Genomic DNA, 27832 nt, shown 5'->3' with positions numbered 1-27832 from the left:
GTAGAGATGGAGTTTCACCATGTTGGCCAGGCTGGTCTCAAACTTCTGACCTCAAGTAATCTGCCCACCTCTGCCTTTCAAAGTGCTGGGATTACAGGTGTGAGCCACTGTGCCTGGCCAAGGTAATGTTAAAATACTTTGGCATTACTTTCGTTGTGGCTGGAATCATGTGAAACTCTAAAATGTATCTTGATCTAAACAATAAGGTTTACCTGCCCCCACTTCCTTCTGCATCCTTTTCTCTTTTTTTATGCCTGTAAAAATCTCTGCCATGGTCTTTAAGTAATTGAATGTTGTAGATGCTATTATTATGTGTCCATAATATAGACACAAAAAAGTGCTATTTTACCTTCTGCCTAGTTTGTGACACATTCCTGGAAGGAATGAAAGTACAGATAGGAAAGCAGTGAGTGTGTTGAAGTCACACTGATCACAGCCAGTTTTGTGAACTAAGGAAGGGTCTATTCAATATGTAACAGAGATTCTAATTTTTGGTGTCTCCTCTGTACCAAGCAAGATACAGGCTCTGGGAAATCAGAGTTGAAAGAAACTCAAATATTCCTCTCACAATCCTCAGTACTTACTTATATAAGGGCAAAAATTAAATGTCCTGTCAGAGACATTGGGAACCATAGCTAGGTTCCTGGATATTTCAGTTCAATGGTATGGAGATTAACCTTGGAATATTAATAGAAAACATGTAGAATACACTTCACTTTATGCATCCATCACATAGGGATCACACAGGAGCACACACGGTCTGTTTAATCATTGCTCACTGCAGTGGGATCTACCAGAAATCAACTCAGATGATAGTGTTGAGCCTCAGAGACACAGACATCTCACCCCTTGTCACACAGATCAGGGGCATGGGCAGGATTTGGAATTAAATGGTTGGTCTTTGAGTCTCTGGCACTAAACTTCTTCATTGTTTCCCAGCTCTCAGAAAGTTTTAAGCAATGGCCAGAGGTCTTAAGCACAGGTGCATCTGAAGCGCATTTTGAAACTATTTCCGGTTTCCTGAATAGAAATGGATTCCAAGACCCTGATTTTATTTCTCCTTTGAGGAAGTAGAGAGCTGCAAGGAAAGCCAGAAACAGGGGCAAGGGAGAGATGCGCCCTGAGTGATCCTGTGCCAGTTCTTTCTGGGATCTTTGATGTGATCTCAGCTGCCCTTTCTATACTTGACACAGTGAACGTGGCACCCACTGGTCTAGCTGTGGTCTACCAGGAAGCCCCAAAGGGAAGGGTACAGTTAGCAGGGGCACCTGCTGGGTGTGACACGGATTCGAGGGGGGGAAGGTTGGATGCAGAGAGAGGCCTGGCCAAATGCTATGTGTCTGGACTTAGACTGCCTGGTGCAAATGTGGCTTCACCTCTTTCTACCTCATGATCTGGTACGAGCTATATAAAAATGCATTGCTCCTTTCCTCCTCTGTACAATAATAATAATAATGTGTGCAGCTATAACTCAGGAAAAATTATGAAGATGAAATGAAACAAGCTATACAAAACACAGAGCTGAGATCCATGCATTTAGGAAGCCCTCAGTAAGAATTCATGATGTCATGGTGACTGGCATCTTCCTCCTCATCCTCAACATCACCTTTATAAACTTTTTGTTGTGTTTAGGGCACAGTTTAGAGGGACCCACTTTTTGCTATCCTGGGTGAGATGTCTATGGGAAGTTCAATCAGCATGGGAGGAATGTAAAATTTCATCAGAGTCAAAAGTTAACCCAGGGAATAGGAAAATATATTTGCAAATCATCTATATGCTAAGAGGCTAACAAAGAAACTACACCAAGAACTCCTACAACTCAACAACAAAACAAATACCCCATTAAAAGTGGGCAGAGGACTTCAATAATCATTTCTCTAAAGAACATATACAAACAGCCAATGAGCATACAAAGTGATATTCAACATCACTCATTGGCAGGGACATGCAAATAAAAAACACAATGAGATACCACCCAATAGGATGGCTATTAAGAGCAAATGAACAAAACAACCTGTCAAGTTTTGGTGAAACCATAGAGAAGTAGGAATGCTTGTAAGGGAGTATGGAAATGTAAAATAGTGCAGCAATATGAAATGAAAGACCACACACACAACCCTGAACATAAACCCTGAAAATAAACCCCGAACATAAACTCCACAGTCGTCTGAGCTGACATTTTGCACATTGGTGTCCTCCCATCTGCCACCCCACTGTCCTGTTTGTGCTGAGGATGAGGAAACAAGGCTCCCAACCGTCCCTCAGCACTCACTGAGCTGCGCTTCCCCTCTGCTGGGCCATGACCATGGAGAGTAGGTCCGCTGTCCTCCCTGTGTGGTGCACGATGGAGGCTCAGGCTCCGTCCTCAGGACTGGCAGGAAGACAGGGTCAGACATGAGCCTCCTGATGCAGACGACAGGTGTGGAGCCCACTGGACTGGAAGCTCACACTGCAGGGCTGGAGGCATAGGCTGAGTATTTACTATTCTAGGGCCTTGGGGGCTCAAGGCACAGAGCTCCTCATTAGCCAAACTGGTCCATGTTCCCCAGTCTCTAAGGACTGCCCCATATTAACAGAGGAAGAAGAAGAGGAAATGAATGTCCACAGAAGCTTTTGGGCTCTTCCTCCACTCAGGAGGAATCCTGAGTGTACTATTCACTTCTTTCATTTATTTTTTATTAAGATCTGTCTACTTTTTATTTTCCTTTTTATTATATAAAAGATATTGCATATAAATGTTAAAATTATACATATAAATGGTTTTATATAAAATGGTAAATACAACATTTTATCATTTTCATCATTTTAAAGTATATAGCTCAGTGGCATGAAGTAGATTCACAATGTTGTACAACCATCCTCACCATCCATCTCCAGAACTTTTCTATCCTACAAAACAAAAACTCAGCAACCATTAAACAAAATCCTTTCCTTCAACTCGCTAACCACTAGCAACCACCATTCTGATTACTGTTTCTACAAATCTAACTGCACAAAATACTTGACATAAATAGAATCAGTCTGTATTTGCCCTTTGGTGATTGGTTTCTTTCACTGAGCATAATGTTGTCTAGATTCATCCCTGTTGTATCATGTGTCAGAAGTGCCTTCCTGTTTAAAGCTGAAAAATATTCCATTGTATGGATGGATCTCATTGTGTTTCTCCAGTCATCTGTTGGTGGACGCTTGTGTCGCTTCCATATATTTAGCTATTGTGAATAACGCTGCTATAAACATGGTGTTCTGTGCAGGAAACGCACAAGGGGAGAAGAAAACACACACACACACACACACACACACACACACACACACACACACACACAATACCTTTAAGGGTAAATAAGCTTTATCCCACGTAAATGGCAATGTAGATATAATAAGCAAATGATATAATAAGCAAATTACTATAATAAGCAAATTGAGGCCCGGCGCGGTGGCTCATGCCTGTAATCCCAGCACTTTGGGAGGCCAAGGCAGGCAGATCACGAGGTCAGGAGATCGAGACCATCCTGGCTAACACGGTGAAACCCTGTCTCTACTAAAAATACAAAAATTAGAAGGGTGTGGTGGCCCGTGCCTGTAATCCCAGCTACTTGGGAGACTGAAGCGGAAGAATCGCTTGAACCTGGGAGGCGGAGGTTGCAGTGAGCTGAGATCGCGCCACTGCACTCCAGCCTGGGAGACAGAGCAAGACTCCATAAAAAAAAAAAAAAAAAAAAAAAAAAAAAAGCACATTGATATAATAAGCAAATTGCAACGGGAAGTCGCCGAAGCGAAAAAAAAATATATATATACACACTCACCAGACTATGAAGGATTCACCAGCAACAGTCTGGGCTCCAGAGTCAGCCACCAGTCCGTGCACAGACAAGGAGAGGTCTCCTGAAGCTTTGGCGCAGTCTGGGACCCTAACTCTTTTTGTAATGAGTTGTTTGGCATGAGGCCCAGTCACGAGGGCCCTTCACGACTGGGCCCAAGGAACGCAAAAAGGTCAACTCGTTTTCGTGATTGTCTATTGTTTTTCAATAACTAATGTATAGGAATAGATTGAAATAGAGATTTCTCCGAAACAGCGCTGGATGAACGCCTCAAGGGGCTCACACGACCCATTCGAGGACTTGCTGACCATTGTTTGTGTCCATGTTCAATTGAGTTCGAATTTAATATTTAACTTTTCCTCCACACATGGTTATACAAATATCTGTTCAAATCCCTGTTTTCGATCCTTTTAAGTATGCACCCAGAAGTGAACTTGCAGCATCCTATGGTAGTTCTATTTTTCATTTTATGAGGAACCATCATATGGATTTTCATACTGCTGCACCATTTTACATTTCCATAGCCCTGTGTAAGCATTCCTCCTTCCCTACAGTTTCACCAAAACTCGACAGGTTTTTTTGCTTGTTTGTTCTTAATAGCCATCCTATTGGGTGGTATCTCATTGTGATTTTTATTTGCATGCCCCTATTGATGAGTGATGCTGGGTATCATTTTGTATGCTCATTGGCCATTTGCATATGTTCTTTAGAGAAATGTCTATTCAAGTCCTCTGCCCAATTTTTTTTTTTCTTTATTGAGACGGAGTCTTGCTCTGTCACCCAGGCTGGAATGCAGTGGCATGATCTTGGCTCACTGCAAACTTCACCACCCGGGTTCAAGCGATTCTCGTGACTCAGCCTCCTGAGTAGCTGGGACTATAGGTGCAGGCCACCCGCCCGCTAATTTTTTTTGTATTTTTTTGTATTTTTACTAGAAACGGAGTTTCACCATGTTGGCCAGGCTGGTCTTGAACTCCTGACCTCAGGTGATCTGCCCGCCTTGGCCTCCCAGAGTGCTGGGATTATAGGTGTAAGCCACCACACCTGGCCTTCTGCCCATTTTTAATGGGCATTTGTTTGGTTGCTGAGTTGTAGGAGTTCTTAATATTGTTTGGTTGTTAGCCTCTAAGCATATATATATGATTTACAGATATATTTTCCTATTCCCTGGGTTAACTTTTGACTCTGATGATAGTATATCCTTTGAGTTACAAAGGTTTTTTAATTTTGATGTAGTCCAAGTTATCTATATATTGTTGTCTGTGCTTTTGGTGACATATTCAAGAAATCACTAAGAAATCCAGTGTCATGAAGGTATTGATCAAATCATTACCAAATCCAATGTCATGAAGGTATTGATCAATGTTTTCTTTAAGAATTTTATAGGTTTGGAATTTAGGTTTAGGCCTTTGATCCATTTTGTGTTAACTTTTGCATATGGTGTAAGGTAAGAACCCACCTTCATTCTTCTGCATTTTGAAATCAAGTTTTTCCTACACCGTTTGTTGAAAAGGCTGTCTTTTTCCCAATGAATGTTCTTGGCACCCATGTGGAAAATCATGTGACCATATAAGTGAGAGTTTCTTTCTGGGCTCTCTTTACTCTTCCATTTTTCTGTATATGTGTCTTTATGTATTATAGTACCACACTGTTTTAATTCCTGGATCTTTGTAGTTTATTTGGAAACCAGGAAATGTGAGACCTTCAACTTTTCTTTTTAATGGATTTATACATTTTTTCAATTTACCTTAGAATTGTACATTGAGTTGGATAATAGTAACAAAACCTGCTAGGCTTTGGAGAGTGGATTCCCAAGGTTTTTCAAATACACTGTCTCATTGGAGCCTTAGTACTCCTGATCAAATAAAGACAGACAGATTTTTTATTTTGCCAGTGAGAATCACAGTCTGGAGAGGCTGTTGAATCCCAACACAGTGGTCACTGATGGGTCTGATACTGGAATTGGGTCTGTGTCCACCAGGCTGTGGGGCCTTTTCCAGAAACCAGGCTCCTGCACAGGGACTGGGGCTGAAGGAGGGACTCTCCCGGGAGGAGGCAGCCTGGTGAGAAGGATGCCAGCAGAAGTCTCAGGCCTCTAAGGCCTCCCCTCCTTCCCTGGTCTCTGCAGCTGAAGTTGCATCAGGAAGCTGTATCTTCTAACTGCTTGAGGCAACTTCTCAGATAAACCCTCTGAGGTGAATCCATAAACTTTTACAACTTGCACTTTCAAAGGATGATGCAAGGAGCAACAATTGCACCAGCTTGAGCCATTTGAGGGTGGTGTGGAATTGGAAACTGTGTCAAAGGCAATGGAACCCTGCCTCTAGCATCAGAAAGCTAAGCCTGTATTCAAAATAGATGCCTGCCAGGTGCAGTGGTTCACACCTACAATCCCAGTGCTTCAGGAAGCCAAGGTGGCCAATCCTGGTTTGAGGCCAGGATTTCAAGACAAGCCTGAGTCACATAGAGAGACCCCCTAACTGGGTGTGATGATGCATGCCTGTAGTCCCAGCTACTTGGGAGACTGAGGAGGATCACTTGAGCCCAGGAGTTCAAGATTTCAGTGAGCCACTGTACTCCAGCCTGCACAATACTGTGAGACACTGGCTCAAAAAAAAAAAAAAAAATGCCAGAGCAACATAAAATTGTAAGCATTCATTACCTTTCTGCCACCATGCATTGGGGAAAGTGGATCCCTCAGCTGATGCTGACCATTGGCAGACAGGATGGTGTGTGTGGAGATGGCGGGAGGGTCTTAGGGATGTGGGATGAACCCTGACACCATCTACTACCCCATCCTTCACTGCAGACCCAGTTCTACCAGTTCTCATCAAAAGGGTGAACTGCATCCCAAACACAGTCCACATTCTGTGGCTTCCATTCCTGAAGACATCTCCAGAAAGTCTCAGAAGAAAATTAAACTATATGAGAGAACAAATCTTTTCTATCGTATAATTATTACATGTTCTACAATCTGGGGTTAGATCATAAAACTGCAATTATGGGAAATAAAGGTCAAATAAAGAAGGAAAGAAAGAAAGACAAGAAGGAAGGAGGGAATGAGAGAAGAAAGAGGAGGGAATGAGGGAAGAAAGAGGAGGGAATGAGGGAAGAAAGAAGAGGAAAGGAAGAAAGTAAAAAAGGAGGGAGGGAGGGAAGAAAAGGAATAATCACAAAGAAGGAAGCAACGTCTCAGTTATTCTAGGCAGTTCATTACTATGAATCATCAGAACAAACAAGCTTACAAATCTACATTCCTAATTTGATGTGAAAAATCACATCACTGTTCTTATGAAATAAAGGATAGCAAAGTTGGAGTGTGGTCTCAACGTCAAGTTGCCAGGTTATAGTTCACCTCTATCTGCTTCTTCCTTTGTGGAACAAGGTGAATGAGAAAAGACATGTCAAAGAAATGTTTTCAGGGCCAACTGTGGTGGCTCATGCCTATAATCCCAGCACTTTGGGAGGCCGAGGCAGGTGGATCACTTGAGGTCAGGAGTTTGAGATCAGCCTGGCCAACATGGCAAAACCCCATCTCTACTAAAAATACAAAAAAAATTAGCCAGGTGTGGTGGTGCACACTTATAATTCCAGCTACTTGGGAGGCTGAGACACAAGAATTGCTTGAACCCGGGAGGTGGTTGCCGTGGGCTGAGATAGCGCCATGGCACTCCAGCCTGGGTGACAGAGTGAAACTGTGTCTCAAAACAAAACAAAACAAAAACAAAAAGAAAGAAATGTTTTCAGGATTAAATAAAGCCATACATGTAAAGCAACAAGCACAATCCTAAAAGGGAAACACGTTGCCTTGACTATTGTATGATTTTCATCCAATTTCTTCCAGAGGAAACAAGAACACAACCAAGTTTAGGTGAAGGGTGCTAACATGCAAATGGGTAATTTTTGAGGAAAGCATGTCATCATATCAGCACTCGATATGATAAGTGTTTCAAACAACACGTGAGAACTCTCAAGAGTGGCTCTAAGAAAATGGACCAAAGATGGAACTTTAAAGACTGTATATAAAACGGAAAAGTTAGAAGGAAATTACCAAGGGAGTTACTGAGAGAACCTAAAGTAAAAACATGTAGCAAAAGCCAAATCACAAGTGTTTTGGGAAGAGTAAAAATGAAGCATGTGATTTTCAGGAGAAAAAGAGCCAGGATATTTATTTCTTGTTTTCTTTTAGTTTTGTAGTTGTTGTTTTTGAGACAAAGTCTCACTCTGTCGCCCAGGCTGGAATGCAATGGCGCAATCTCAGCTCACTGCAACCTCTACCTCCCAGATTCAAGCAATTCTCCTGCCTCAGTCTCCCAAGTAGCTGAGATTACAGGCACCCACCACCACACCCAGCTAATTTTGCATTTTTAGCAGAGATGGGGTTTCACCACATTGGCCAGGCTGGTCTTGAACTCGTGACCTCAAGTGATCCACCCACCTCAGCCCCCAAAGTGCTGGGATTACAAGCATGAGCCACCAAGCCTGGTCGAGCCGGGATATTTAAATTCACATTTGCCTAATGGACCTACAACATCCACTTAGTTCTGAGACCTTGATCTGTCATGGACAAGAGGCTGGTCTGCTGAGGAACTGAATGTTCATGAGCAGGGCTCTGTCAAACATAATCTTGCCTTTGTGACCTTTTTATAAACCCAATGATCTCTCTGACAACCACCACTTAGACAGATTGAACCCTAGGCTAACACATTCTGCTGCCAAGTGGATGTTATTAATAAGGTGTTTCACAGCACAACAAACTAAACCCTTCCAAGAACAAACTCGATGCAAAGGAAAGTAGATTGAACCCTACTTTCTGCCATGTACAAAAATCAAATCAAATAAAAAACAGATCAACAGGCCTGGCGCAATGGCTCATGCCTGTAATCCCAGCATTTGGGTGGCCGAGGCGGGTGGATCACTTGAGGTCAGGAGTTCAAGACCGGCCTGACTAACATGTGAAACCCCATCTCCATCAAAAATACAAAAATTAGCCAGGCGTGGTGGCGGGCACCTGTAATCCCAGCTACCTGGGAGGCTGAGGCAGGAGAATCACTTGAACCCGGGAGGCAGAGGTTGCAGAGAGCCGAGATCACACCTCTGCACTCCAGCCTGGGTGACAGAGAGAGACTGTGTCTCAAAATAAATAAATAAATAAAAAGTCAATAGCTTAAATATAATGTAGCTAAAATCATAAAACTCTTAGAAAAAAACATACAGGAATATCTTGATTACACTTTATTTGGAAGCAGATTGTTAGATACAACAGTGAAAGCATGAGTAACAAAACAAAAAAATAGATATATTGAACTTCATCAAATTTTAAAACTTTTCTCTATCAAAATGTTCTGTTAAGAAAATGGAGCATGGTACCAATAGAAACACAGATACAAAGGACAATGGAACAGAAGAGGTGGTGCAGAAATGAATCAATGAATTTATGGCAAATCATTTTTTGACAAAGATGCCGAGAACACACAGTGGGGAAAGGACAGTCTCTTCCATAAATGGTGCTGGGAAAACTGGAAAACCACATGCAGAGGAATGAAATTAGCTCCTCATCTCAGGTCTCAGTAAACCTGAAAATGCAAAACCACTAAAAGAAAACATAGGAATAATCCTCCATGAAATTACACTGGGCAATGATTTTTTGGATAAGAACCCAAAACACAAGCAACAAAGGCAAAAACAGAAAAATGAGATTGCATCAGGCTAAAAAGTTCCCACACAGCAAAAGAAACAATCTATAGAGTGAAGAGACATCCTATGGAATGGGAGAATACAATTGCAAAATTAAAGAGGGGGCCTGGTGTGGTGGCTCAGGCCTGTAAACCCAGCACTTTGGAGAGGCCAAGGCAGGAGGATCACTTGAGCCCAGGAGTTTGAGACCAGACTGGGCCACCTAGGGAGACCCCATCTCGACTAAATTTTAAAAAAGAAAAAACGACCTATTCAAGAGGGAATATTCAGGCCAGGCACAGTGGCTCATGCCTGTAATCCCAGCACTTTGGGAGGCCAAGGCGGGTGTATCACTTGAGGTCAGTTCGAGACCAGCCTGACCAATATGGTGAAACCCCATCTCTATTAAAAATACAAAAATTTGCCGGGCACTGTGGCATGTGCCTGTAATCCCAGCTACTCAGGAGGCTGAGACAGGAGAATTGCTTGAAGCTGGGAGGCGGAGGTTGCAGTGAGCCCAGATTGCACCACTGCACTCCAGCCTGGGCAACAGAGCGAGACTCCAACTCAAAAAAAAAAAAAAAAAAAGAAAAAGAAAAAGAAAGAATATTAAGACTGTATGAAATGCAACTCAATTGTGAGAAAACAACCTGATTGGAAAATAGACAAAGGATCTGAATAGACATTACTAGAAAGAAGGCATGCAAATTAACAGGTATATGAAAAAACACTCAGCTTCACAAATCTTCAGGAATGCAAATTCAAACCTCAATGACATATCACCTTGTACGTGTTAGAATGCTGTTATCAAGAAGTTGAACTGTTGGCCATGTGCGGTGGCTCAGCCTGTAATCCCAGCACTTTGGGAGGCCAAGGTGGATGGATCACGGGGTCAGGAGATCAAGACCATCCTGGCTAACACGGTGAAGCCCCGTCTCTACTAAAAAATACAAAAAATATTTGCCAGGCATGGTGGCGGGTGCCTGTAGTCCCAGCTACTCGGGAGGCTGAGGAAGGAGAATGGTGTGAACCAAGGAGGGGGAGCTTGCAGTGAGCCAAGATTGCATCACTGCACTCCAGCCTGGGCAACAGAGCAAGACTCCATCTCAAAAAAAAAAAAAGTTGAATTGTAAAAATGTTGGGTATGTGGAGAAAAGGGACATTGCATACTGTTGGTTGGAATATAAATTAGTGCTGCATTATGGAAAACAGTATGAAGGTTCCTTCTAAAATTGAAAATAGAACTACCTTAGGATCCAGCAATCCCACTACTGAGTTTATATGAAAGCAGTATGTTGAGAGATATCTGCATTTCTGTTTTCATGGCAGCATTCATCACCATAGCCAAGAAATGGAATCAACCTAAGGACTCATCATCAGAAATATAAAGAAATGTATTCTATCTGCACAATGGAATACTATTTAGCCTTTACAAAGAAGGAAAAACCTGTCACTTACTACCACATGGATGAACCTGCAGGACTTTCTGGTAAGTGAAATAAACCACGCACGGCTTGACAAATACTGCATGAACTCACATGCAGGTAGATGAAAACAAGTCAAACTCATAAAAACAGAGTAAATTGAGGTTACCAGAGGCTGTGAAGTGAGGGGATTGGGTAGATCATAGTCAAAAGACACAAAGTTTCAGTGAGACAGGGGAAGTGATTTTAAGAGATCTATTTACACTTTATGATGAATATAGTTAATAACAAATTGTATACTTCAAAAAACGGAAAGATAACATACAAATGGGTGGGGAATATTTGGCAAGCATATATCTGATAAGGGTCGAGTATTCTGAATATATGAGGAATTCTTACAGGTGAGAAACAAAAGTACAAACTGCACAATTACAAAGTGAGCAAAGATGTGAAAAGACATTGATTCATAGCAGATATACAAACTGCCAACAAGCATGTGGAAAGATGCTCAATGAATCATTAGGAAAATGGAAATCAAGAGCACAATGAGACACCACTTCATTGTTTTTTTGTTTATTTTTGTTTTTTTGAGACAGAGTCTTGCTCTGTCACCCAGGCTGTCACTTGCTCTGTCACAGTGATGCAATCTTGGCTCACTGCAACCTCTGCCTCCCAGCTTCAAGCATTCTCGTGCCTCTGCCTCCCAAGTAGCTGGGATTACAGGCGTATGCCACCATGCCTGGTTAATTTTTGTTTTATTAGAGATGGGATTTCGCCATGTTGGCCAGGCTGGTTTCAAACTCCTGGCCTCAAGTGATCCACCCACCTCAGCCTCCCAAAGTGCTGGGATTACAGGCATGAACCACCACACCTGGCTGGCTACAGTTGTTTTTTTAAAAAAGTATTGGCAAGGATGTGGAGATACTAGAACTTTATACATTGCTGGAAATGTTCAATGTGCCAGCTTCTATAAAACTCAGTTTGTCACTTGCTCAAAAAGTTAAACATATAATTACCATAGGACCCAGAAGTCCCACTGCTAGTTATCTTCCCCAACTGATGGAAACTAAGAACCAAACAAACAAATTTACATGCATGTTCATGGCAGCACTATTTACAGTAGCCCAAAGATGGAAATCACCCCTTGTCCATCAATGGATGAGTGAATAAACACTTTGCAGTCTGCACATCTAGTGGAATATTGCTCCACCATAAAAAGGAACGAAGGAAATTAACATTAACAAATAAAACAATCTAGGCCGGGCGCGGTGGCTCATGCCTGTAATCCCAGCACTTTGGGAGGCTGAGGCGGATGGATCACAAGGTCAGGAGATCGAGACCATCCTGGCTAACGTGGTGAAACCCCGTCTCTACTAAAAAAAAAATACAAAAAATTACCCAGGCGTGGTGGGGGGCGCCTGTAGTCCCAGCTACTCAGGAGGCTGAGGCAAGAGAATGGCATGAACCCGGGAGGCGGAGCTTGCAGTGAGCCGAGATCGTGCCACTGCACTCCAGCCTGGGGGACAGAGCGAGACTCCGTCTCAAAAATAAATAAATAAATAAATAAATAAATTTTAAAAAAACCTAGAGGAACAAGGAAAGGAAGGAGGGAGAGACTAAGATAAAGAAGGGAGAAAGGAGGAAGGATAGAAGGGAAAAGAGAAGTAAGAAGGACAAAAGCAAGAATCACAAGGAATGAAGCAACAGCTCAGGGTACTCCGAAGCACTAATCTCTATGAATTTTATGAATGAACCAGCCTGTGAATCTAGATCCCAGCTTTCAACTTGAAAAGCTCCTGAGTATTTTTATGAAATTCGGGTCAGCAAAGTTAGTAGTGGGGCTGCAGTGTCACACTGCCTGATATAGCCGACCTCAACTCAATCTCTTCCTCTGAGAAATAGAGTGAATGAGAGAAAATAACTCAAAGAAAGGTTTTTAGGATGAAATAGTTTATAGATGTAAACTAGTAAGCAGAGTTTTGATATGGTAAGTACTTTGCTTTGAATATTTTATGAATTTCATTTTATTTCTTCCAGGGATAACGAGCAAAATCAAATTAAGATGAAACAGTAACATTCAAATGGATCATTTTCGAGGACGCGTGTCAGCATTTGACATGAAGAGTTTTATAATGTCAAGTTAGAAATCTCAGGAATGGCACTAAAAAAATGGATCAAAGATGGAACTTTAAGGACTATGTGCAGAGAAGAAAACTTTAAAAGGAATTACTGAGAGAGCTCTTCAGCAGAAATATATTAGGTGGGTGCAAAAGTCATTGCAGTTTTGGCCATTACTTTTGATGGCAAAACTGCAATGACTTTTGCACCAACCTAATACAAAAACCTTTTTTTTCTTTTTTTTCAGACAGAGTCTCGCTCTGTCACCCAGACTGGAGTGCAGTGGTGCTACCTCGGCTCACTGAAACCTCCGCCTCCTGGGTTCAAGCGATTCTCCTGCCTCAGCCTCCAAAGCAGCTGGGACTACAGGCGTGTGCCACCACGCCCAGCTAATTTTTGTGTTTTTGGTAGAGACAGGGTTTCACCTGTTGGCCAGGATGGTCTCGATCTCTTGACCTCATGATCTGCCCGCCTCTGCCTCCCAAAGTGCTGCGATTACAGGTGTAAGCCACCGTGCCCGGCCATACAAAAACATTTTAAGCAAAGTCGTAGGTGCTTTGAAAATAGGAAACTGCAACATATATTTTAGGGGAGAGCAAGATCTAGGATATGCGCATTCACATTTGCTTAAGGGACCCATAGCATCCTCTTAGTTCTGAGGTTGTGTACCGTAAGAGACAAGAGGCTGCCCTGCTAAGGAGTCTCCCCAGGGCCCCCTTCACATCCTTGTTCCTCAGGCTGTAGATGAAGGGGTTCAGCATGGGGGTGACCATGGCGTACATCACTGAGGCCATGGAGCTGCTCTGGGAAGAATGGGTCACAGCAGAACTGAGATAGACCCCAAGTCCTGTTCCATAGAACAAGGAGACCACACAGAGGTGAGATCCACAGGTGGAAAAGGCTTTGTACTTGCCCTCGGTGGAGGACATTCTCATTAAGGAGGAGACAATCTGAGAGTAGGAGAAGAGGATCCCAGCTACAGGAAACACACCCAGCAGTGCCATGGCCACATACAAGACAATGTTAATGAGGAGAGCATCAGAGCGGGCCACCTTGAGGACCTGAGCCAGTTCACAGAAGAAATGCGGAATCTCAGTGCCTGTGGAGAAGGTCAGCCTCTTCATCAGTAGAATATGAACCAGGGAGAACCAGAAAATGATGAACCAAGATGCCAGAACCAGGAGGCCACAGAGATGGGGGTTTATGATGACCATGTACTGCAGTGGGTGGCAGATGGCCACAAACCGGTCATAGGCTATCACAGCCAGTAGGAAAGTATCCATTCCAGCAAACATCATTTAAAAATACACCTGAGTGAGGCACCCCATGTAGGAGATGTCTTTGCTCCGTGCCTGGATGTTCACTAGCATCTTGGGGACTGTGGTGCAGATGAAACAGGTGTCCACAAAGGACAAGTTGGAGAGGAAGAATTACATGGGGCTGTGGAGGTGGGAGTCAGAGCTGACGGCCAGGATGATGAGTAGGTTCCCCAGCACCATGACCAGGTACATGGACAGGAACAGCCCAAAGAGGACGGGCTGCAGTTCAGGATCATCTGAGAGTCCTAAGAGGAGGAATTCTGATAATTCTGTAAGGTTTTCTGCTTCCATGTAGCTGTTGTGTCTACTGGGGAAGGAGGAAAAAGCAACATTCAATCACTCTTCAATATCACCCTTGGATGCAACTTCTATGGAGTCCTTCCAAAGATCCTGATTCACTCAGCCATTTGGTAGCCTAATTCCATTTGAAACGTGCGGAGTTTCTCAAACTACCTTTAATTTAGCAGTAATCTTTCTCCTTTACCATATACTCCTGAGTTTTAATTATTTGATTCAAACCTATGGACAGTAATTTCTTCTTTGATAGGATCCTTCCACATAACTGCAGACTCGCCATGTCTTTTGATACATCTCCATAGTTCCTTCATGCTAATAGGTGTATAATCATGATTAAGATACGCATTTTCAACTCAGGCAATCTTTTTTTCTGTGACCTGACACAGGTGATGTGACAGTTAATTCTCAGTTCCTTAGTTTTCATGGATACCTCATGTTTTACTCATTTATGGGGGACATGTGATATTTTCTTACATGCATAGAATACATAATAATCACATCAGGGTATCTGAGGTGTCTACCACCTTCAGTATTTATCCTTTCTATGTGTTGGGAACAATTCACGTCCTCTTTTCTAGTTACTTTGAAATATGCAATACAATGTTGTTAACTATAGTAATGCTACTTTGCTCTTGATCAAAAGAACATATACCTTTTATCTAAGTGTACGTTTATTTTTTTCTTTCTAAAAATATGATTGTCAGTATCACTTTGTGAGGTTTTAAAAGTGGCTTTGTGTACAATAAGAGTCTCAGTAAATGATAGCTGTCGATATTATTAAACTCCTTCTTCTTATAAGATAGTTATTTTGGATATATCACTCTTCCAAGGTACAATACATAGGTGTAATTTAGGAAATGGAATCTTGAGGGAGATTTTCTGGAATAGAATTTTGGTCCACCAACTTACTATTGTGTGACCTTAAGAAAGACATGTGGCCAGGCACAGTGGCTCACGCCTGTAATCCCACCACCTTGGGAGGCCGAGGTGAGCGGATCACGAGGTCAGGAGTTCGAGACCAGCCTGGCCAACATGGTGAAACCCCGTCTCTACTAAATATACAAAAAATTGCCAGGCGTGGTGGTGCGCACCTGTAGTCCCAGCTACTTGGGAGGCTGAGGCAGGAGAATTGCTTGAACCTGGGAGGCGGAGGTTGCAGGGAGCTGATATCGTGCCACTGCACTCCAGCCTGGGTGACAGAGTGAGACTCTATATCAAAAAAAAAAAAAAGAAAGACATGTAAACCCTCTTAGCTGCAGATAATTCACCTCTAAATAAGAGTAGTAAATATTTTCTGCATGGACGGATTGAAGAGTGAAATTAAATGAGATGATCCATGTTGTTTTTCTGCTCTGGTTTCTGTGGCATACAACGGCCATATCATAAATGTGAGCTTCCGTTCTTAACATCACAATAATCTGCCTTGCATGAGTGTCATTTCTTAATATCCATCTCAAACTGTGCTGACCATCAAGGATGGAATTCTGGTGAAGATGAATAGAACTGTTACCTCTTTGACTGCCATACAACACTTCTAATTAATGAAGATTCCTGTGACTCCTTCCTTCAGAATGCCTGCCAGGTGATTCTTCCAAGAAGAGAAAAAAGCATGTGGACTACATATATAAGAGGAGGAAACAAAAGCACACAGCCATTAAAATAAAACACAAGTCACGTGTGAGTCTGTTCTCGTGTGTACGTGCTTTCCAGTGGGGTTGCAGTGTACTAAGGTCAGTAGAGTCGATCATCAACATATATAATTCATGGATTTGGTTCAAAATATTCAAAACTTACATAAATCATGTCATCCTAGAAAAAGAAAAGGCAAATTTAAGATTTGAAAATAAATGATTACATTTACCATGGTAGAAAAACGGCAGTGATACTGATGCCTAGAGATATTTAACTAATCAAAGACCAGAAAAACATCATAGAAGACGAATTTAGTCTAGGAAGTTGGGTTCTGAAATAGGAATCTTGGAGCTAAGAGAAGAAGATTGGGTCATGATTCAAAAGGGGAAGCAAGGAAAGAATAGACAGCGTAGGCTGGGAGGATGAAATGCCTGGTTGCACGTGACTCAGAGAGCTTAGTAATTGGGACTTGAGAGACCAGTGAGATGGAGAGTGGAGAGTGAGGGTTAGGGGGGTCAGAGCGTGAGCCCCACAAGAGACCATCCTGTGCTCTTTCTACATGAGTGCATCTCATGTAGGTAATTTTACGTTTATTTGTGGATCTGAGGTTGTGTTTTCTTTCATCATTTTTCTTTCCAGAGGTGTACATGGTACCCGTCACTTAGTGGAAGCAGTGTCATTCGTTTGGGGTAATACCTGAGGTTCGCTGCCTCACGCCAAGGAAATCAAGGACACAGACAAACAAGGATTGGGTTTAACAGCGGAGGTTTCATAGATGAGAGAAAGAGAAAAGCTCTCTCCGAGGCGCTGCCGAGTGGGTCTTCCAGTTCCATTGTGAAATGCATGGGATTTTATAGATAAGCTTGAGGAGGTGGTGTCTGATTTACACAGGGCACAAAGGACTGGTTGGACCAGGTGTGCCGTTTACAAAGTGCACGAAGAATCTTTTTTTTTTTTTTTTTTTTTTGCGACGGAGTTTCGCTCTTGCTGCCCAGGCTGCAGTGCAGTGGCGCGATCTTGGCTCACTGCAACCTCCGCCTCCCAGGTTCAAGTGATTCTCCTGCCTCAGCCTCCTGAATAGCTGGGACTACAGGCGCACACCACCACGCCTGGCTAATTTTTGTATTTTTAGTAGACACGGGGTTTCACCATGTTGGCCAGGATGGTCTCTATCTCCTGACCTCGTGATCCGTCCACCTCGGCCTCCCAAAGTGCTGGGATTACAGGCGTGAGCCACCGAGCCCGGCCATATAGCCTGCTTTTTAATGCACACAAGGTTGACAAAAGGAAGATGGAGCCTCCATGTTGAACACGCCTGGCCCCCAGGTAGCCTTTTCCCATTGGCACAGCTGCCAGCATTCACCCGTGCAAGCTTGCAGCCCGCTTTTCTATGTCTGCAGCTTGATTTTTTCAGGCTGCTCTTTGTTAAAAAAGAAATGATTTTGGGGGATGCTTTTTGTTAAAATGGAAACCCTTGCCAAGGACTCTCTTACCCTCACTAGCTGCCTAAGTAATTTCTTTTTAGCTCCTGTATCATTAGTAGGTGTTCAAGAAACACGATTTTGGATGTGTAATAAAGATTGAGATCAAAACTGACATCCATAACACAAAACAGAAATTTTTATTCATTTCATGCCTGAATATAGACACTAAATTGAACAGTAAAGTTAAATAAAATACGTTTCTGTTTATTTTAAAAGAATCATACACCGTGAACATGTAAGACTCCTATTAATAGCAAACAGGCTTAATATTAGGATGTTTGTTTACATAGTTCATCACAATAATAGGTCAATAAAAAAAAAACCTTAACCACAAACACAATGCAAAATAATATATTTCAGAAAATCAAACAGCAGCCAGTGCAGAGACTCTCAGGACATGAGGAAACCAAGGACAATTTTTGTTGTTGTTGCTTTTGTTTTTGAGACAGAGTCTTGCTCTATTGCCTAGGCTGGAGCGCAGTGGCGCAATCTCGGCTCACTGCAACCTCCACCTCGCAGGTTCAAGCGATTCTCCTGCCGCAGCCTCCCAAGTAGCTGGGACTACAGGCATGCGCCACCATGCCCAGCTAATTTTTGTATTTTTAGTAGAGATGGGGTTTCACCATGTCGGCCAGGATGGTCTCAATCTCGTGACCTCATGATCCACCCGCCTTGGCCTCCCAAAGTGCTGGGATTACAGGCATGAGCCACCATGCCCGGCCACCAAGGACAATTTAACCTAGTAAAGGAAACCACAGCCAACAGCATAGTCCATATTAAAACACTATAGCATTTCTCAGGCCGGGAGTGGTGGCTGACACCTGTAATAATCCCAGCACTTTGGGAGGCTGAGGTGGGCAGATCACTTGAGGTCAGGAGTTTGAGACAAGCCTGGCCAAGATGGTGAAACCCCATTTCTAATAAAAATACTAAAAATACAAAAATTAGCTGGTCATGGTGGTGCAAGCCTGTAATCCCAGTTACCTGGGAGGCTGAGACAAGAGAATCACTTGAAGGCGGAGGCGGAGGTTGCTGTGAGGCGAGATCATGTCATTGTACTCTAGCCTGGGCCACAGAGCAAGACTCCATCTCAATCAATCAATCAATAAATAAACACTACAGCATTCCTCTTAAATTCATGAATAGGCCAAGGCAGTCTACTCAGCATCAATCGTCTGAGAGTCTCCTGAACATTTAAAGACATTGGTAAAAATGAAATAAAGGAAATTGGCCCGAGTTTCAAATGTCAAAAATAATATTATTTTTTACATGGCACTGTGGACACTGAAGTGAAAAAATAGTAATGACAACAACAATGATATAGAATTCTTTAGTAATATTTGAAGTCAGATCTGCCAGCAACATAGTAAAATTATAAAAGAAAATCCAATCATATTAGAAACAAAATAGACAATACCTTGCGTAGGACAGATCTTCAGTGAGTCATTCAGGAAGAGGTGATTGGATTCAGGAAACCTACCAGGAACCTACAGTTTATGGCAGAGAGTGGAGAGGATTTGGAGATCATCAGAAAATCATACATTCAAGTATGGACATTCCTAACTGTTCCCGGAAAGAGGCTTCAGCTTCCAGAAGGAAAGAAAAGGAACAGAACAAGGGCTACAAAAGACTGGTATTGGTGAAAACTAAAGTACCTTTAAAATACAGGAACTTCAAGGCTGGGCGCGGTGGCTCACACCTGTAATCTCAGCACTTTGGGAGGCCAAAGCAGGGGGATCACCTGAGGTTAGGAGTTCGAGACCAGCCTGAGCAACATGGAGAAACCCCGTCTCTACTAAAAACACAAAAATTAGCCAGGCGTAGTGGCGCCTGCCTGTAATCCCAGCTACTCAGGAGGCTGAGGCAGGAGAATCGCTTGAACCCAAGAGGCGGAGGTTGTGCTGAGCCGAGATCGTGCCATTGCACTCCAGCTTGGGTAATAAGAGCAAAATTCTGTCTCAAAAAAAAAAAAAAATACAGGAACTTCAGCTTCATAGACTAAATAAATATGGGACTGTCTAGGCTTATTACTCTAAAGGTACAGCCCAGTACCCACTCTCTCTCCTCTTACCCCAGCAGCCCTTGTTGGGTCACACTGACTCTGATTGTCACTGATGCTTTCTCTTCTCCATGGTGTGTCCCTGTTAAACCCAATTGTGTTTTTTCCAAGGCTGGGATCAGAGAATTACACTTGAGGGGTGGCAGGGCCCAGTTCGAAGTTTCCATTGCCTCAAGGGTTGAACTCTCAGAGAGCCTCATTAAATAAATTGTTCTATTGTTTTTCCACCCTCCAAATAATTCAGCTCCCTTAGGATACAAAGAAGATAGCAGAATGGAAAATGTTCAGGCAATTTTGCAGCGGTAGTGGGAGATGAATTTATTTTCTCCAAGGAGAAACTCTTTCTTTAGTTGGATTTAAAAGTCACAAGGTATTCCCTAAGGAAAGTTTAATTTCTTTTTTTCTTTTCTTTCTTTCTTTTTTTTTTTGAGACAGAATCTTGCTCTGTCGCCCAGGCTGGAGTGCAGTGGTGTGATCTTGGCTCACTGCAACCTCTGCCTCCCAGGTTCAAGTGATTCTCCTGCCTCAGTCTCCTGAGTAGCTGGGATTACAGGCACCTGCCACCACGCCCGGCTAATTTTTGTAGTTTTTTTTTAGTAGAGATGGGGTTTCACCATATTGGCCAGGCTGGTCTCGAACTCCTGACCTCCGGTGATCCACCCGCCTCAGCCTCCCAAAGTGCTGGAATTACAGGCATGAGCCACCATCCCTGGCAGGAAAGTTTAATTTCTATAAGGAACCAAAACTCAGCAATCTTCTCTCTGGAATGTGCCTCCCTTGAAGAAACTTTGGAGATTTTATGGATCCCTTGGTGTCCACAAGGTTATAGAGGCAAAGGGATCTTTTTTTTAAATTTACTTTCCTTATGTTTTAACCACTTTATTGAAGTATGATTAAAATGTAAAAGCTGTAGACATTTAATGTATACACATGATGAGTTTTGAAACAGGCATACATCCTTGAAACCATCACCACCATTACGGCGAGGGACATACCCATCACCTCTTAAAGTTTCAACTGGCTTTAATATTTTAATGTGTGATAACCACACATAACATAACGTCTGCCTTTAAGCACATTTTTCTAAATAATACATTATTGATATCTACAAGCACTGTATTGTATAGGACATATCCACAACTTATTAATCTTGCATCACTAGAACCCTTTGTGGTTTAACCAGCATCTCCCCATTTTCTCCCCTTTTCAGTCCCTGGCATTCACCATCTACTCCAAAGTAGTCCTTCCTGAAGGAAAGCAAATTGGTGAGTAGGTTTTGTCCTGGTGAAAGAACCAACAAAATGAGGACTGAACAATAGTTTTTGACATTTTCTGGTGACATGGAAGCCTTTGTTGATTTTAGGAAGGGCTTCATTTATTACCTCTAAATAGAAGGGTAGGACAGTAATAGCCCATATGGAGTAGGTGAAGAGTGTGTCTAGAGGAAATATAGGTGGCAAATGTACACCAACTATGAAGTTTTTAGGGAAGCGGAGAGAAGAGAGAAAGTGTAGCCTAACGGGGGCATGGAGTATGGGAGAGTATTTTGAAAAATGTTTTTAACTGGACAATAGGGGAATGTGTTTAATTTCAAAGAGAATGAAAATAATTAATGTAGGTATTTGAATACACAGATACTGACTACAAAATTGGCAGGATGTAATATACACCATAAGACAAAGAAAAATCATAATGTGCTACATCCCCAATATATAAAATCCATGGGTCCAAAACTCAAGGGTGGACAGTGAGAATGGCTATTATTAAAAAGTCAAAAAATAACAGATGCTGGTGAGGTTGTGGAGAAAAAGGAATGCTTATACACTGTCGGTGGAGGTATAAATTAGTTCATTCGTTATGGAAGACAGTGTGATGATTCCTCACAGACCTAAAGACAGAAATACCATTCTGGCCGGGCGCTGTGGCTCACGCCTGTAATCCCAGCACTTTGGGAGGCCGAGGCGGGCGGATCACGAGGTCAGGAGATCGAGACCATCCCGGCTAAAACGGTGAAACCCCGTCTCTACTAAAAATACAAAAAATTAGCCGGGCGTAGTGGCGGGCGCCTGTAGTCCCAGCTACTTGGGAGGCTGAGGCAGGAGAATGGCATGAACCCGGGAGGCGGAGCTTGCAGTGAGCCGAGATCCCGCCACTGCACTCCAGCCTGGGCGACAGAGCGAGACTCCGTCTCAAAAAAAAAAAAAAAAAAAAAAGAAATACCATTCTACCCAGCAATCCCATTACTGGGTATATACCCAGAGGAATATATATCATTAGTATATAAAGACACATGGATGTATATGTTCACTGCAGCAATATTTACAATAGCAAAGGTATAGAACCAACCTAAATGTCCATCAGTGATAGACTGGATAAAGAAAATGTGGTACATATACACCATGGAATACTATGCAGCCATAAAAAAGAATGATATCAGGCAGGCATGGCGGCTCAAGTCTGTAATCCCAGCACTTTGGGAGCCCAAGGCGTGTGGATCACGAGGTCAAGAAATTGAGACCAGCCTGGCCAACGTGGCGAAACCCCGTCTCTACTAAAAATACAAAAATTAGCTGAGCTTGGTGGCTCATGCCTGTAGTCCCAGTTCCTCCGGAGGCTGAGGCAGGAGAATAGCTTGAACCCAGGAGGCAGAGGTTGCAGTGAGCCGAGATCGTGCCACTGCACTCCCACCTGGTGACAGAGCAGGACTCTGGAAAAAAAAAAAAAAGAGAAAGAATGAGATCAATGTCCTTTGTAGGGACATGGATGGAGCTGGAGGCCATTATCCTTAGCAAAGTAATGCAGGAACAGAAAAGCAAATACCGCATGTTCTCACTTATAGGTGAAAGCTAAATGATGGGAACACATGGACACAGAGAGGGGAACTACACACACTGAGGCCTTTCAGAGGATGGAGGGTGGGAGGAGTAAGAGGATCAGGAAAAATAACTAATGGGTACTAGGCTTAATAGCCAGGTGATCAAATAATCTGTACAACAAACCCCTATGACCCAGTTTACCTATGTGACAAACCTGCACTTGTACCCCTGAGCTTAAGATAAAGTTAAAAAAAATCAAGGGTGGAAAGTAGAAGGGTCCCTGCCTGATGTTCCTCTCAGGGAGCCACTTGGGGACTTTGTGCTTCTGTTCTCAAGTCTGACTTCTGCAGATTTAGAGGTCTTGGCTTCTAAAGGCTGTAAAAGTAAGTAGAGGTTCCTCTTCAAAGACTTTCCTCCTTGTCTAATTGGGAATAAATAGTAACTTCCCTTAGAAGCAAAATTTATTCAAAGACCTGTGCTAACATTCTTAAATATCTGCTAGCCGTAATAAAGAAATCAATGTACTTTATGTTTTTAGCTCTCACAATTTAGCCTAAATATTTGCCCTGGCATGCTTATACTGGTCCAAGCAAGCATTAGGTCATAGCCTGTTCCTCTTCCTTATTTGAAGGTGTTTTTACCTTTCTCAACATTCCACAAGTTACTTTCTCCTTCCTTTGTTCTCCTCTGCCTTTGCCTCTTTTAAAAAGTTCTAAGTTGCTAGCCAATCAGGACAAACACGGAATGTGCGGTCCCGTTCCAGCCAGTGGAAACCGGACCCAGCAGTAGGGTGGACACATCAGGTTATAAATGACCTTGTCTCCTTTGTTCAGTATACTCTCGTGGCAAAACTGCTGGCGAGTGTACCCTTTCTGCAGAAAGTATAAAAATGGCCTGGCTGAGGAAATTAAATTTATATTCAAGTGCTATTTCTTTATGGTACCAGGGAACAAGCATTTCAAACAAGGCTTAGCCCTTCTAGAGAAAGGGCAGAAGTCTCTAAGAACTTCAAGCCATGCTGCTGCCTAGCACTTCAGGGCTCTCATGCCAAGGAGAGGAGCTCCCACCTGGCAGGAGTAATTGACCCAGGTCATCAATGTCATTGTGGACACAGGAAGGAGCATGCACAGGTGCCTTGCTGTGTTCTAGCCGTGATGGGAGCAGCCCAGGAGCAAGCTTGGCACAAACATAGTAATGAATACAGATGGCTCTGGGTCAGTTATGCTCCTACAGCAAGAGAGATGAGTGTTTCCACCATGAATAAAGCAGCCTCCTTCAGCTGAGAGCAACTCTCTAAGGGGATTGAGGCTGCAGGCTGCCATATGGCTACACTCCTTATGCCCTGAAGAACAGGACCTTCATTCTGAAATGGATAAGTAAGGAATGCAACGCAGCATCCATGACCATCCACTCCTTCAGCCATTTGGATAAACTTTTTGTGTACATTCAAGGAGTGGCATTCCCCATGGTTTCCTTTGTGTCGTTTTAGGGAAGAGAGGCCAATAGGATGAAATACTTACAAAAGGAGGGTCAGTGGTTCAAACAGCAGCCTCTGCTGCTGCCTGTCATCTCAAGGTCCCACTGATATAGGTAGTGTCCCCCTCCCTTGTCACCATCCTCAATTCCCCTCTCCTTTTTGTTGTTTTTTTATTCCTTCCTTCCTTCTTTCCTTCCTTCCTTCCCTCCCTCCCTCCCTCTCTTTTCTTTCTTCCTTCGCTTCCTTCCCTTCCTTCCCCTCCTTCCCTTCCTTCCCCTCCTTCCTTCCTTCCTTCTTTCCTTCTTGAGTTTCGCTCTTGTTGCCCAGGCTGGAGAACAGTGGTGTGATCTTGGCTCACTGCAACCTCTGCCTCCCAGGTTCAAGCAGTTCTCTTGCCTCAGCCTCCCGAGTAGCTGGGATTACAGGCATGTGCCATCACATCTGGCTAATTTTTTTTAGTAGAGATGGGGTTTCCCCATGTTGGTCAGGCTGGTCTTGAACTCCTGACCTCAGGTGATCTGCCCACCTCAGTCTCCCAATGTGCTGGGATTACAGACATGGGCCACCGCACCCGACCTCCCCTCTCCTTGTATAACACTTCTGTTGTTGGGTGATTCAGGTGGTGGGGTGACCTTGACCTTCATCCCTAAGCATTCCAAGTCCTGGTTGTCATTTCTTTTTCAGGTCATGTCTGTTGCATTTGACCATTGATTGTGAAAATTGAGAGAAAGTCTACTGATAAGTGTTTAAATGGATCACCCACATACCAACATAATCTCCTCTTCTCACATCATACACCCCTATGCTTGGGCCATATTATCTGCTAGATCTATGGTGTTGAAGGTCATTGGTGAACAAAATTCAGAGTGCATCTATGGAATCTCTCTCTCTTTTTTTTTTTTGTTTTGACCAAGTCTCACTCCATTGCCCAGGCTGAAGTGCAGTGGCACGATTCTGGCTCACTGCAACCTCCACCTCCCCAGTTCAAGTGATTCTCCTGCCTCAGCCTCCCAAGTAGCTAGGATTACAGGCTTGCACCACCATGCTCAGTTAATTTTTTGTATTTTTTATTTTTTAGTAGAGACAGGGTTTCACCTTGTTGGCCATGCTGGTCTTGAACTCCTGGGCTCAAGTGATCCACTGGCCTCAGCCTCCCAAAGTGCTGGGATTACAGGTGTGAGCCACCATGCCTGGCCATATGGAATCTCTTAGTGGGAAAATCATGATCAGGTTTTAAGGATTCTAGAATGAGGCTATGCCATCCACTGGAAATATTTATATGTCTTTGAGAAATAGTTCCTGGTTTGTTACCAAGTCCTGTAGATATGGGATGCTTGATGACGGGGTACCAATGACCACATATATGAAATTTCCCACTATAACCTGATTCTATGGGCCCTACTAAGTCGTAACATTAGACAGGCCCAGCCCCAATCCATGGTGGAAATGGCACATCTGAGAATGAACCCAAACAGGACCAGAGGCATGAGAAAGCTGCACGTGTAGAAAGCCGAGACCCCGGCTGGGTGCAGTGGCTCACACCTGTAATCCCAGCACTTTGGGAGGCTGAGGCAGGTGGATCACGAGGTCAGGAGATCGAGACCATCCTGGCTAACATGGTGAAACCCTGTCTCTATTAAAAATACAAAAAATTAGCTGGGTGTGGTGGCACACACCTGTTATCCCAGCTAATCGGGAGGCGGAGGCACGATAATTGCTTGAACCCAGGAGGCAGAGGTTGCAGTGAGCCGAGATTGTGCCACTGCACTCCAGTCTATGCCACAGAGCAAGATTCAGTCTGAAAAAAAAAGCCAAGACTCCAGCAGATCCCAATGGCATTCACCATTATCGCACCAACACCACGCCTTTAGCTTGTACCTAGGGTCCATTGGGGAGCAGGAGATGTCCTGTACTATTAAAAAAAAAAAAAAAAAAGAAGAGAAAAATGCCTGAGTTTGCTTTATAGACAGATTGGCTTGGTATGTGAGTACAATAAAAAATGAGCCATGGCTTCATTATAGCCAAGTTCAGGGACACCCTGAAAAAGGGGTGTATAGAAAAAATCTCTGCAAAGGGTGGAACTGCAAGCGGCACATCTGGTCATCCACGTTGTCTGGAAGAAAAAGTCATTTGAGGTGGTGGGACCACCTGGTCATGGGCTTTGAAAGAAAATGATGAAACAGTGTAGACAGGTATGTAGATGGACATAGAGGACTGGATATGATAAATGAAAATATTTGTGTTGTATGTCACATAGGAGGCAGATAGGCATTCATTTTGCCACATAACATTTTCCAGCCTTTATCATTGGCCACCTGATGGTATGATGGCCTGATAAACAGAGTGGCCACAAGGGCTGATCCTCCCATTTGCAAAGATCCATTGAGCTGGTGCTGCTTCGGAATGTCCGAATGGTCAGCAAGAGACAATAGCAGAACACCCAGAGGGCCTTCTTTCTTGAGGAGACCAGCCAGCCAGGGGAGCAGGTTGACCACATGGGGCTCCTTCTATCTTGAAAAGACCAGCAGTTTATCCTCACAAGGATGGTGCAAATTATGCAAATTAAACAACAAGAAACATCAAACTCACAGAATGAAGAACAAAAGCCATATGACCATTTCTATAGATGCAGAAAAAAACATTTGACAAAAATTAACATCCTTTAATGATAAAGACTCAATGAGTTAGATATAGAAGGAATATACCTCAACATAGTAAAAACCACACACAAGAAACCCACAGCTAACATCACACTCAATGGGGAACAATTGAAAACATTTTATCTAGGGTCCAGAACAAGAAAGGAATGCCTGTTCTCACCACTTCTACTCAATATAGTAGTGGAAGTTCTAGCTAAATCAATTAGGTTAGAGAAAAAAAATAAAAGACATCCAAACTGGAAAGTAAGAAGTTAAGTTTTCCCTGTTTGCAGATGACATGACCTTATGTATAGAAAACTCTGAAGACTGCCAAAAACTGTTAGAACTAACAAAAAAGACTCAGTAAAGTTGGAGGATACATAATCGACATATAAAAATCAATAGTGTTTCTATATACTAACAGCAAACTACTCAAAAAAGAAATCAACAAAATAATCCTATTTATAATTGGTACCCCCAAAAATAGAATGCTTAGGAATAAATTTAACTGAGGAGGTGAAAAATTTGTACACCCAGAACTATAAAACATTGTTGAAAGAAATTAAAGAAGATACAAATAAATGGAAAGATATCCCATGTTCATGAACTGGAAGAATTGCTATATTAAAATGTCCATACTATCCAAAGCAATCTACAGATTTAATGCAAACCCTGTCAAAATTGTAAAAACATTTTTCACAGAAATAATTTTTGTGGAATCACTAAAGACACCAAATAGCTAAAGCAATGTGAGCCAAAATAACAAAGCTGGAGGCATCACACTACCTGATTTAAAACTATTTGACAAAGCTGTAATATCCAAAACAGCATGGTGCTGGCATAAAACTAGATACATAGACCAACTGAACAAAATATCAACCACAGAAATAAATCCATGTATTTATAGCCAACTGATTTTCAACAAAGGTGCCAAAGACTCACAAGGGGGAAAGGACAGTCTCTTTAATAAATGGTGTTGGGAAAACTGGATATCCAGGCAGAGAAGAATGAAATTAGGTATTTACTTCACACTATATACGAAAATCCATTCAAAATGGATTAAAGTCTTAAAT

The 27832-nt window shown here is 42.8% G+C and overlaps 1 protein-coding gene and 1 pseudogene across 5 annotated transcripts in view; both read right to left on the bottom strand.

Moving 5' to 3' along the window:
• Positions 1-27832, bottom strand: part of OR7E24 (olfactory receptor family 7 subfamily E member 24) — a 46138-nt gene that overhangs the window by 2836 nt on the left and 15470 nt on the right. For 2 of the 5 annotated variants that reach the window (XM_047438597.1, XM_047438596.1), the window contains one exon: positions 19186-19255. The exons of 2 other annotated variants lie outside the window; for them this stretch is intronic. Coding sequence is in view for 1 of the 3 variants with exons in the window: in NM_001386108.1 (NP_001373037.1) it covers positions 2273-2301 (29 nt within the window). In the remaining 2 variants the exon portion in view is untranslated. Of the gene's footprint in view, positions 1-2272; positions 2447-19185; positions 19256-27832 lie in introns of those variants that run through there. One more of the 5 variants, NM_001386108.1, reaches the window with a different exon arrangement.
• On the bottom strand, positions 13798-14446 carry OR7D1P (olfactory receptor family 7 subfamily D member 1 pseudogene; annotated as a pseudogene).

This window comes from Homo sapiens, chromosome 19, assembly GCF_000001405.40.
Source record: "Homo sapiens chromosome 19, GRCh38.p14 Primary Assembly".
Lineage (NCBI taxonomy): Eukaryota > Metazoa > Chordata > Mammalia > Primates > Hominidae > Homo > Homo sapiens.
Note: the sequence above shows the minus strand (reverse complement) of the source record. Positions and strands in the feature narration are given on the sequence as shown.